This window comes from Homo sapiens, chromosome 8 (genome assembly GCF_000001405.40).
Source record: "Homo sapiens chromosome 8, GRCh38.p14 Primary Assembly".
In the NCBI taxonomy this organism is placed as follows: Eukaryota; Metazoa; Chordata; class Mammalia; order Primates; family Hominidae; genus Homo; species Homo sapiens.
This window is the reverse complement of record NC_000008.11, coordinates 51,972,221-51,985,525: the sequence shown is the minus strand read 5'-3', so window position 1 is coordinate 51,985,525 and position 13,305 is coordinate 51,972,221. Positions and strand designations below refer to the sequence as shown.

General features: G+C 41.5%; 1 long non-coding RNA gene across 1 annotated transcript in view; it reads right to left on the bottom strand.

Annotated features, from left to right (window-relative positions):
• The window catches only part of LOC124901944 (uncharacterized), a 49,354-nt gene extending 37,449 nt beyond the window's left edge, over positions 1–11,905 (bottom strand). The window contains exon 1 of the long non-coding RNA XR_007060910.1: positions 11,791–11,905. This is a non-coding gene — a long non-coding RNA (uncharacterized LOC124901944). The remainder of the gene's footprint in view (positions 1–11,790) is intronic.
• Positions 11,906–13,305: the final 1,400 nt, after the last annotated feature.

The window sequence follows — 13,305 nt, the reverse complement described above, 5'->3', positions numbered from 1 at the left end:
CATATCTTACATAATGTCTGGCTCCAAATTAAGAGGATTTCCTCTAAATTCAGTGGTGGAGAAAATTAGCTTAATAAAAGTGATTTAGGATGAGATGAAAATGTTTTGGTTCTGTATTTCAAGAAAGCAAAGTAATGAGTCTCTAGGATCATTAAACTCTAAATTAAAAATTCCTCTGCTGAAACATTATTATTATTATTAAATAGTGAAAATATATTTAAAGCCAATAATATGCTATGTAAGTTTGGAAAAAACAACTCATTAAGGGAGTGTGAATGTCACTAAAATATTTAATGAGCCTATTCACTACTTAAGATGAGCCAGTTCATGATGAGTGGATGTGTTTGCTGAAATAGAGAAGCAATAGGGAATCTAACTTGTTGAATTTTAGAAATCCCTTGTATTACCTTATGGCTCCTATGGGACATCTTTCATTCATCCATACATTTATTCATTTCACAAAGAATCTGTTAAGAGTCAGATCAATAATATAAGGCATTTGCCACCCATCTGGCAGGAAAGGAAGGCACATGCGGATCCTGACCCTAGTGAGGTCAGTCCGGGCATAGTGCATGCAACCTTAAGTAATTTTGAAATGAGTTGAGCCCTTTCTTAGGTTCTCCCAGGACCAGACTCTGAAAAAAGGAGTAGGTAAGTCAATGATTTGGGAGTTGATTCCAAGAAACTCTACCGGTAGAGGGTGGAGAAATGAAACAGGAAGGGAAAGAAGCCACTAAGGTGTGTGATAACAAGCGGGTTCCCCTTGGGGCTCCTGGAGCTGAGTCTCATGAGGACACCAGATGCTGGCTCAGAAGTCAGGCCTACTGGCCCATAGTGACTGCTGGGGACATCGGGAGGGAAGGCACCAGCCATGCATCCCATGGACTTAAGACATGTTTCTCAAACTCTTTACATGAGCATAGAGACCCTAGGAATACTGCTTGCATTTCCCTCAGTCTTCCTAGAAAAAATAAATAAATAAATAAAATAAGGCTAGTTTTTCTACTTCTACTCCCTTCAGCTTTTAGTCTTGTCCCTTCCACTTCTGGTTTGGAAAAACATGACAGGATGAAAACACTCTTAAATGATCCATTTTGCCGCTAATCTTCTTTAACCCAATAATGGCTGCAGCAGAGGTACTAGGATGGTGTCATGGGAATGCAGCAAGGGAGTGGCAGCCTCTGCTTGGCGAGGAGGGGAAGGCTTCTGAAGAGGTGAGGCTTGAAGGGGTGAGGGGTCTGCAAGGTGCAGAGGCAGGTGCAGCTGGCCCTGGGTGAGGAAAGTATTTGAGGCCCCGGGGTGCACTCAGAAGGGTAAACTGCCCTTTGTGCCTGGAGCACAGGGTACCAGGGATACTAGAAAAGAGGCCTAGAGTTAGATAGGGCCAGATAGCATGCTGGAGGATTAGGGAGGGTGGTTGCCAAAAAGCATGCTTTCCTCTGAACTTGCTAATCATGCTGAATGCAAAGTCCCATAAAACCATATAATAGCAAGCTGGAGAGAAAGGAAGTTGTGGGTGGATAACATGGCTTAATCTTCATTTTCCATAATAGAAAGTAAAAAATCATGAGTAATAAAGACAAATTTTAAATGACAACAAGGACGGGCGTGGTGGCTTACGCCCGTAATCCCAGCACTTTGGGAGGCTAAGGAGGGTGGATCACCTGAGGTCAGGGGTTTGAGACCAGCCTGGCCAACATGGTGAAACCCCATGTCTACCAAAAATACAAAAATTAGCCAGGTGTGGCGGCAGGCACCTGTAATTCTAGCTACTCAGGAGGCTGAGGCAGGAGAATCGCTTGAACCTGGGAGGTGGAGGTTGCAGTGAGCCAAGATCGCACCATTGCACTCCAGCCTGGGCAACAGAGTGAGACTCCATCTCAAAAAAACAAAAAATGACAACAAAATATGATATTTAAAAGTAAGACCATTGGACATTGCTAAATAAGCTAAAAGTGATTGTAACTAGGAGCAAGATTTGGGATAGGGAGGTGAAGACAGGAAATTGATGAAGGACAATTTGACTTTTAAAACTATGTGAACGGCTCACACCTGTAATCCCAGGGCTTTGGGATGCTGAGGTAGGAGGATCACTTGAGGCCCAGGAGTTGGATATCAGCCTAGACAACACACTAAGATCTCATCTCTACTTAAAAAAAAAAAAAGAATTAGTCAAGCAAAGTGGCTCACACCTATAGTATCAGCTACATGGGAGGATGAGCCAGGAGGACTGCTTGAGCCCAGGAATTCGAAGCTGTAGTGAGAACTATATCATGCCACTCCACCACTCCACTCCAGCCTGGGTGACAGAGCGAGATCTGATCTCAAACAAAATAAACAAAAACTACAAATAAGTCAAAGTCATATAAAATATAGAGATAAATCTCTAAATTTAAAACATTTTATTTGGGAAGCAAGAATTGCAACTCGGGGCATACATACAGATGAGATGCTCTTCAGTGTGTCTGAAGAACAAAGAGAAGTTTGGGCATTTTACAAAAAGGAGCAATGTTACATATTGTTTTGAAAGAAAATTTATTGGCACTAGTAAAGTTTTGGCAAGCTGGCAAGCTCTGATTTGTGCATGACTGGTGGAGTTGCAACAAGTTATTTCAGTAGCTATTAGGTAAACCTGGTTTCAGGCTACAGTAGCCAGCTTTAATAGCCAGCTTGCAGTGGATTACAGTTTTGGAGCAATGTTTTGTGCCCTAAGTGCTTTCTCCCCCGGCTCTTGACTCTGTTTCAGTTGAGTGTGACAAGAATGACCCCATCTATATGACCAACTTTCAAATATACAAGCATGTGTGTTACTTCAAATAAAAGTAGAGATAATTACGTTACAACCTCACAGTTGAATACCTAAATTAATGTAGGTCATCAAAAAATGTTATTTACATGATGCTCTGCAAAGTGTGTCCTATTATCACCCATGCTTCCCTCTAAGAGAGCCATTGCATATTCTGACTGATTGGGAAAGCTCTGAAAAGTATTCTTGCTTCCTTGACATTTATTAGAGTTATGGTCAACAAATGATCATAGCTGTTTAGTGTGTTAAAAGTTTGCTTTGGCTGGGCACAGTGGCTCACACCTGTAATCCCAGCACTTTGGGAGGCCGAGCCGGGCGGATCACAAGGTCGGGAGTTCGAGACTAGCCTGACCAACATGGTGAAACCCCGTCTCTACTAAAAACACAAAAATTAGCCAGGTGTGATGGCACACCTGTAGTCCCAGCTACCCAAGAGGCTGAGACAGGAGAATCGCTTGAACCCGGGAGGCGGAGTTTGCAGTGAGCTGAGATTGCGCCACTGCACTCCAGCCTGGGTAACAGAGTGAGACTCCATGTCAAAAAAAAAAAAAAAAGTTTGCTCTGGCTGGGCACAGTGGCTCATACCTGTAATCCCAGCACTTTGGGAGGCCTAGGTGGGTGGATCACCTGAGGTCAGGAGTTCGAGACCAGCCTGGCCAACATGGTGAAACCACATCTCCACTAAAAATACAAAAAATTAGCTAAGCGTGGTGGCAGACACCTGTAATCCCAGCTACTCGGGAGGCTGAGGCAGGAGAATCGCTTGAACCCGGGAGGGCAGAGGTTGCAGGGAGCCGAGATTGCACCGTTGCACTCCAGCCTGGGTGACAGAGCGACACTGTCTCAGAAAAAAAAAAGGTTTGCTCTATTGTCTGCTTAAATAATTTCTATAAACACAGTCACTTTGAAAATCACTAAAGGCTGCATTAGGAGAACAAAATTAACAGTTCATCATTCCCTCCTTAGAACTCAGCAACCCCTTTGAAGTATTGAACTTTTTAATCTAATTGTAATTTGCAAGTTTGAATGCTAAGACCTTAAGGGAGAGAAGCCACTACCAGTGTACGCTTGGTTTTGGGTTTTCACAATGGAAAGAACTAAACATTAAAATGTTTTCTGAGAAAAAATATCAATAGCCAACCACTATTGTGTAAAACTAATTTTCTAATTAATTTTTTTGGCTTTTTTTGCCCATAGGTAAATGTTATTAACTCTTTACCTAGCCCTGCCTCCACTCCCACAACACAAACCTTGACTGTCGGGTGAGAAAAAACAACTGAGAGAGGCATTCTTATTTCTAACAGAAAGACAGAGCATTCTTTACTATTATTATATTAAATTTTTTGTTTCCATAGGTTTTTGGGGAGCAGGTGGTATTTGGTTACATAAGTAAGTTCTTTAGTGTGATTTGTGAGATTTTGGTGCACCGTCACCCGAGCAGTTTACACTGAGACAGAGCATTCTTACGCAGCTCAGCTCCATGGTTTTGTCAAGCACGTCTATGTGCTCATGTGGGTGAGGCTTTCATATAACATGCACATGTGTATGAGGCTTTCCTATAATGACTGGAAAAGGATTGGTGCTTTAAAGTCCTTTTGTAATGTCAAATACAAATAAAATAAATAATTTTCTTAAAAGGTTTCTATCTGTGACAGTGTATCTGTCACTGGACATCAGTCATTTGAAACGCAAAGATATCTGTTCATCTGGACTGTCATGAATAATAAATAATCCGTCAATAATTTGTTACATAGTGTTTATTACCTCAGATTTAGGATAACAATGACAGCCAGTTACCAAGGAGGATAGTTGCCTGAAGCTGGTTTTCTGTGGTGTTGGTGGATTTCTACCTTGTTATCGCCTCTCACCCAATCCGCTGGATAACTTTCGGTGCATATTTTCACAATGGCTGACCACAGTTAGTTAAAGCCACATTCTATGGCCATGAGATACCACAAAGCTAAGTGACCCATATAGAAACTAATGGAGTTTTACATTTCAACATTGACTACATTTGCTCTGTTAGCAAAACACATGAATTGTCTCATCTATGCTACTAGGTAAAAAGAAATAAGAATCATGTTACAAACTCTGGTAGATTAAGAACTTTAAGAACCCTGAGTAATACATTCTTCTGCTACTCTTCATTACTGCCACAAAGAGAAAATGAAAGAATGAACAAAAAGGAAGAGATTAAGTGACATTTTCTTTGCAATAATATTAATTAACAATTTTGGCAAGGAATGGACTTACCAACAACTTCACATAAATATTTGTATTGTAAGAGTTAAGTCTGTAACTCTTTTAGGATTACTGTAACCACCCAATGGGTTCACCTTGTCTGCTGCCTAGACAGAGCCAATTAATTTATCAAGACAAAGGACTTGCAACGGAGAAAAAGTAATTCACCCAGAGCCAGCTGTGTGGGAGACCAGAATTTTACTATTACTCAAATCAGTCTCCCGGAACATTCAGGGATCAGAGTTTTTAAAGAAAATTTGGCGGGTAGGAGCTTGGAAAGTGGGGAGTGCGGCCAGGTTGGAGGTGGAATCTTAGTGAGTTTTTCTTGCTGCTTTCTGTTCTGGGTGGGATGGCAGAACTGGTTGAGCCAGATTACTGGTCTAGATAGTGTCAGCTGATCCACTGAGTGCAGCTATGAGATATTGCATGAGATATTGCAAAATATCTCAAGAACTGATCTTAAGTTTTACAATAGTGATGTTATCACCAGGACCAGTTTGGGAAGGTTCAGACTCTTGGAGCCAGATGCTGAATGACCCCTAAACTGTCATTTCTAATCTTGTAGCTAATTTGTTAGTCCAGCAAAGGTAGACTGGTCCCCAGGCAAGAAGGGAGTCTTTTTGGGAAAGGGCTATTATCAGTTTTGCTTCAGAGTCAAACCATGAACTGAATTTCTTCCCAAAGTTGGTTTGGCCTACCCCCAAGAATGAACAAGGACAGTTTAAAGGTTAGAAGCAAGATGGAGTGGGTTAGGTCTGATTTCTTTCACTGTCATAATCTCCTCAGTTATAATTTTGCAAAGGCAGTTTCACTACTCCTTGGGCAGTGCTTTGAAATCCACTACAAAAATATTTTGGACTGGAAATTTTGTAAGTAAGAGTTACTCTTCACTTAATTTTTTTTGGTGTCAGTTGTCTTATTAAAAAAAATAGACAACTTTTTTGACACAAATGTGATCTAGAAGTATCACAACATGGTCCTATAATGCAAGGTTTATAAGATTAACAAATGACCTTATTTCCTTTAGGACAGGGGTCCCCAACCCCTGGGCCGTGGACTGGTACCGCTCTGTGGCCTGTTAGGAACCGGGCCACACAGCAGGGGGTGAGCGGCGGGCGAGCAACCAAAGCTTTAGTATTTACAACCACTACCCATCACTGGCATTACTGCCTGAGCTCTGCCTCCTGTCAGATCAGCAGTGGCATTGGATTCTCATAGGAATGGCCGGGCACGGTGGCTCACGCCTGTAATCCCAGCACTTTGAAAGGCCAAGGCGAGTGGATCACCTGAGGTCAGGAGTTCAAGACTAGCCTGCTCAACATGGAGAAACCCCGTCTCTACTAAAAATACAAAAAAAAAAGTTAGCTGGCCGTGGTGGCAGGCACCTGTAATCCCAGCTACTTAGGAGGCTGAGGCAGGAGAATCACTGGAACCCGGGAGGTGGAGGTTGCAGTAAGCCGAGATAGAGCCATTGCACTCCAGCCTGGGCAACAAGGGTGAAACTGCATCTCAAAAAAATAAGAAAAATAAAAAATAAATTAAAAAAAAGATTCTTATGGGAACACAAACCACACTATTGTGAACTGTGCATTCAAGGGATCTAGGTTGCATGTTCCTTATGAGAATCTAATGTCTTATGATCTGTCACTGTCTCCCATCACCCCCAGATGGGACCTTGTTGCAGGAAAACAAGCTCAGGGCTCCCACTTATTCTACATTATGATGAGTTGTATAATTATTTAATTATATATTGCAATGTAATAATAATAGAAATAAATTGCACAATTGCACTTGAGTCATCCCAACACCATCCCTCCCACCCTAGTTCATGGCAAAATTGTATTCCACAAAACCAATCCCTTGTGCCAAAAAGATTAGGGACCACTGCTTTAGGCAGTATCCCTAAAATTTGCGGCGTGTGTCACCAGGTGGCAGAGGTATACTGCTTCAAGTAATCTAGTACTGTAGTTTCTTGAGATCCAATTTTAATCAGGAATTTTCCAGAAATATGTAAATCCATATTTACCCCATGGTGCGTATGCTCATTGAAATGGCTAGACATAAGAGGCATGAAGAGCACATAAGGCACTCTTAAGAGCACATGCCTGGAAGGAGGTTTGTGTCTGTCTGTTCCCTGCTGTGCCCGGATCCTATGGATGATCTGACACTAATTAGCTGCTCAACAAACATTTGTGGAGTGGATGGAGAATGAATAGAAGGAGTCTTCCTGAAGTGGGTATAATTTGGTATTCTCAATAATCACAACTTTATCATTCTCAACAATAAATTACTATATTCTATTTACAGAACTTTTGCCTTGGAGTAAAATCTCTCAACAGACTTGTTTTATTCAATGAACATTCAGTCTGACCTGCGTTCCAGAGTCCCTCTGGGGAAATTTAATTGGCCATGTTTGGAATATTTACTCCTTCAAGGGTATCAATGTGGATTAAAGTAAAAATGTTAATTTGTATTTCCAGCAGTCTTCAATATATCAGGGAGAGGAGCAGATAGGAAAGGATAGGAATGGCTCTGCGGCAAGAATAATATTGTTACACTCAATAGGTGTTGAAATGAGCAGTTTCTAGTTTTCTTTGCCAGCATATGCTAAGTACTGACTGCACGTTTCCTTGTTATCCTGTTGCGTAGTCTCACCTTTCTTACCTTTAAAATGAGAACAATATTACCTGCCTCCTAGGGTCATTAGATCAATGAACTGCTACACGTAAACTGTCAAGCACAGTACTTAGCAACTCTCACCCAGCTGTAATCAACATTCTAGACTTGGACTATATAGACAATACACTGTAGGAGTGTCTTAGTCAATTTCAGCGCTGTGACAGAATATCTTAGACTGCATTGATGAATAAACAACAGAAATTGCTCATTGTTCTGGAGCCTGGGAAGTCTGAGATCAAGGCACCAGCAGATTTGGTGTCTGCTTCATAGATGGTGACTTCTTGCTGTGTCCTTACATGGCAGAAGTGGGCAAACTCCTTCTGGCCTCTTTTATGTGGGCACTAATCCCATCCCTGAGGGCTCTGCCCTCAGGACTTAATCACTTCCTCAAAGGCCCCACCTCTTACAACTATCACATTGGAGATTAAATTTCATCATACAACTTCGGGCGGGGAACACAAATACTCAAACCATAGCAGGGATGCTGAATAACTTTGCTCATATGACAATTCTAGTTAAGTGATGGAACTGGACTTTGACCCCAGATCCACCAATTTCAAAACCCATACCTTTTAAACTGTCCTGCAATACTAGCTCTTTTTGGGTTAAGAAAACCTTTGGCCGGGCGCGGTGGCTCGCCCCTATAATACCAGCAGTTTGGGAGGCCCAGGCGGGCGGATCACGAGGTTAGGAGATCGAGACCATCCTGGCTAAGACGGTGAAACCCCTTCTCTACGAAAAATACAAAAAAAAATTAGCCGGGCGTAGTGGCAGGGCGCCTATAGTCCTAGCTACTCGGGAGGCTGAGACGGGAGAATGGCGTGAACCCGGGAGGCGGAGCTTGCAGTGAGCTTAGATGGTTCCACTGCACTCCAGCCTGGGCAACAGAGCGAGACAACGTCCCAAAAAAAAAAAAGAAAGAAAGAAAACCCTTTATGACTTGTTTTCCCCATCAAAATATTACTCTTCCTTCTTCTTTTTACAGTTTCACCTGTTGTGTTCCTTTTGTAAATTTTCTCTGAGCGGTTCTTAACTTTTTTGAGTTTGCATATTCTTTGAATATCTGATAGAAGTCCTACCCCCGCAAAAAATGCCTAGACAAGAAAGTCAATCCCAAAAATCTTGCATAGAATGTGGTCAACAAAAGTCTATTCTAAATCCTGTTTTTCTAAATAGCTTGTGTCTTTAAAAATCACTTTTCAATGTTCAATTGGTACCTCAATAAGAAATATGTCAAACCCAGAACTACTTAATGTCTGTTTCAAATCTTAATTTTAATTTTTTTTTTTTTGAGACAGAGTCTCACTCTGTTGCCCAGGCTGGAGTGCAGTGGCATGATCTTGGCTCACTGCAACCTCCACCTCCTGATGCAAGCGATTCTCCTGCCTCTACCTCCATTTTCAAGTGATTCTCCTGCCTCGGCCTCCCAAGTAGGTGGGATTACAGACATATGCCACAATACCCAGCTAATTTTTTTTGTATTTTTAGTAGAAATGAGGTTTCGCCACATTGGCCAGGCTGGTCTCAAACTCCTGACCTCAAGTGATCCACCCATCTTAGCCTCCCAAAGTGCTGGGATTACAGGCGTGAACCACCATGCCCAGCCTAAATTTTAATTTTTTTAAGAACTCCAGCTTATAGAAAAATTGAAATACATAGCAAAGCAAAATGAGTTAGCAATTTACTTTTTTTCTAGGAATTAAAGATAACTACTACACAAAATTTAGTATGCCTTCTGAAATATAAGTTGAATCATGTTACACATATAATTTTACATACATTTTCAGGTAACATTATGTAAAAACATTTCTCAATTTTATGCATGAAAATAACTGCATTAAACTCCCTCAAATGTGAACATTTTCCAGTTTAAGTTATTTTTCATTTTTTTGACATAAATTTTTGAACATTTGATGTTACTCTTTGAATTAGTCACAGTATGAGATCACTGAATCTAATGTATGCTTTTTTAAAGGCTTGTTGGTACATTCTGACAAACCGTTTTCCTAAATAAAAAATTGCTTTTTATTTTCTGTAGGCAATTCATGCATGTGTAAATATATGCACAATTTTCATATTTACAAATTTCAATTTTTATGATTTTGTTAAATAACACCAGCCTAACAGCTTAAATCTTAGTTTCCATGTATGTGTAAGAAAGAATTTGACCTTGTCCTGAGAGATACTCTCTAAAACCTTGGAATTTTGGAATGATAGGAGCACCTTTTTTTTCATGTTCATCCTCCTGCAGACCAGAGCTAATGGTTCATGTTAGCAAGTCGACTCATGGTAGGTCCATTTGGCCATGTGATATCAGCCCAACCTTTGGTGGGAAGACCGAGTTCAACCACGGGGTAATCAATCAACAGTCAATCATGCCTACAAAATGAAGCCCCAATAAAAACTCTGGACATTGAAGCTAGGGATGCTTTTCTGGTTGGCAATACTGAGCATACTGTCATACGTCAATGCCAAGAGGGTAGCATGTCCTGGCGTCAATAGAAGCTTTGCATTTGGAACCTTTCCATAAATATCCAATATATGATAATATATCAGAATTAACCAGTTCCTACAGATGGACATATATGTACATATATGGTTCTTAGAATAGTTTTGAAACACAATAAAACTATTTATTTGTATTGTGATTTTCAGTTTTCAGTACTTTTACATCGCTTGTGTTATTCACCACTGAAGACACTCCTGAGGCTGACCTACCTCTGGTGGCAATCACTGTCCATTGCTTTTTCTAGAGCTCATTCCTCCTTCTTTGTCTGAATACTCAAAAAGTAGGTCAAATCAATTAGTGCCAGACAACGCTGTGGGATTGTCAACCTTCAACCCTCTCTGAGAATAAGAATAAGCTGAGGAGCTTAAAAATAATATTGCAGAGGCTTGGGTCCCACCCACAGAGATTCCAGTTCAATTTGCCTGAGGTACAGCCTCAGCATCAGTATTTTTAGAGTTCCTTAGGTGATTCTAAAGTACAGTCAGGAGCAAGAGTCAGGGTTCTCATGCATGATAAATTCGAGAATTAAAATCTGAGGCCTTAAGTGAAGTAAAATAAGTTAGCAGCTACTTTTTAAAAATAACCACACCTCATATATTTAAAATAATTACTTAATATTTAATGTAAATGTTTCAGTGATTAGATTAACTAAATAAGGTTTACCTATGTAACCCCTGGCACTTGTATGGAGCAAAGCTGATGTAAAAAGTAAGGCTGGGAGGCGGGGCATGGTGGCTCATGCCTGTAATCCCAGCACTTTTGGAGGCTGAGGTGGGAGGATAACTTGAGGCCAGGAGTTCAAGACTGGCCTGGCCAACATGGTGAAACCTTGTCTCTACTAAAAATACAAAACTTAGCCAGGTACAGTGGCATGCACCTGTAGTCTTAGCTACTTGGGGAGGCTGAGGCAGGAGAATCGCTTGAACCCAGGAAGCGGAGATTGCAGTGAGCTGAGATCACGGCACTGCACTCCGGCCTGGGTGACAGAGTGAGACTCTGTCTCAAAAAAAAAAAAAAAAAAAGAAAGAAAAGAAAAGAAAAGAAGGCTGGGAGAAACACTTCCAAATTGGTGGGATAAGGACCTCTGAAAATCTGTTCCTCCAAAAAGCAACGTGAACACTGTCAACATGGTCAGAATAAACATCTTCACAACTCTGAAAATTAGCCAAAGGCTCACAACAATCTGAGAAATATTTATTCAAGAGCATGGCAGAAACAGTGAGCTTCACGATGTTGTAAACAGCCTCTTCCACCCCTCTGCACCTATCCCCATGGCAGCCTTGAAAGGCAGCAGCCTGGCAGCTGTTCCTGCTATGAAAGTCAGCAGCCACCGGAAGGAGCAGGAAAATGACGGAGCTCCCGGCAAGCCTGATCCCAAGATACAGCTGGGGAAAGCAAGAGCCTGGCCACAAATATTAAAACGAAAATTCAGGGAATGAGATATCAATAGGAGACTTTGAATACGTCCAAGATATCATAGGAAAAATAAAGACCCACACATGTACAAGGCTGTGTACATAACCAGTAAAGACTTGAAAAGTCCCAAATCTCTCACCTGGAGGTGACCTTAAGGCCTTATGCAAACAGGAAGTCAAGGTTAAGGCAGAGTGGCAAACTTCCAGAGCATTGCAGATGTGCCCCACTATGTACTCAGAGCCCCTTGTAAGAGTGGGAGACATTGGCTCAAGGCCTTCAGGGAAGTTTCTGTCTAATCATTAACTGACCCCTAAGCTAATCAGGCACATACTTCAGAGGCTACACAGAACAAAGAATAGAGGCTTTACTTGTAAACTTTAAACAAACAAAGAGCAACATAAACAACAACAGACCCTGGGGATTGAGGGGAAACTGGTTTTAAGAGTTGCCACATTATAATAGTGTTTTCATTAATAGATTTCCTTTTGTAGAGCCATTTTAGGTTTAATAAAAAATTAAGCAGCTAGTGCAGAGTTCACACGGCTCCTCTGTTTCTTTCTTTTTTTTTTTTTTTTTTTCTTTTTTTTTTTGAGAGGGAGCTTCGCTCTGTTGCCCAGGCTGGAATACAATGTTGCGATCTCGGCTCACTGCAACCTCCGCCTCCCAGGTTCAAGCAATTCTCCTGCCTCAGCCTTCTGAGTAACTGGGACTACACCTGCCTGCCACCACACCCGGCTAATTTTTGTATTTTTAGTAGAGACAGGGTTTCACCATGTTGGCCAGGCTGATCTCAAACTCCTGAGCTCAAGTGATCCTCCTGCCTTGGCCTCCCAAAGTGCTGGGATTACAGGTGTGAACCACCACACCAGGCCAGCTCCCCTGTTCTTAACAATGAATTAGTGTGATATATATGTTATAATTGATGTGCCTATACTGATATATTATTATTAACTGAAGTCCATAGTTTACATTAGGGTTCATTCTTTTTTTATTTTTTATTTTATTTATTTTTTTGGTACAGGTCCTCCAGTCATTGCTCAGGCTGGTGTGCAGTGACATAATCATAGCTCACTGCAGCCTCAACCTCCTGGGTTCAAGCAATCCTCCTGCCTCGGCCTCCTGAATAGGTGGGACTACAGGTGTGTACACCACCACACCCAACTAACTTTTTCTTTTTCTTTCTAGGGATCAGGTCTCACTATGTTGCCCAGGCTGGTCTTGAACTCCTGGGCTCAAGCAATCCTCCCACCTCAGCCTCCCAGAAATTACAGGCATGAACCACCACGCCTGGCCCTTTTTTTTTTTTTTTTTTTTGACTCCTGGCAAGCTGGGAAAGGTTCACTCTTTATGTTTTATATTCTATCAGTCTAAAGACATGAATCCACCATTATAGTACCATATAGAATAGTTTTACTGCCCTAAAACTCCACTGTGCTCCACCTATTCATTCCTCATCCCCTCACCGTGAAGCACTGACAACCACTGATCTTTTTACTGCTTCTTTCTCTGCCCCTCCTCCAGCAATTTATTTGTCAACCCTCAAGGGGTCACAGCTCAGGTGGGGTCTGACCACTCTCTACTCCAACAAGGTCAAAATAAGGGTTCTCCCAATACTGAGAAAATGACCACACTGCCCAAAGCAACCTAGAGATTC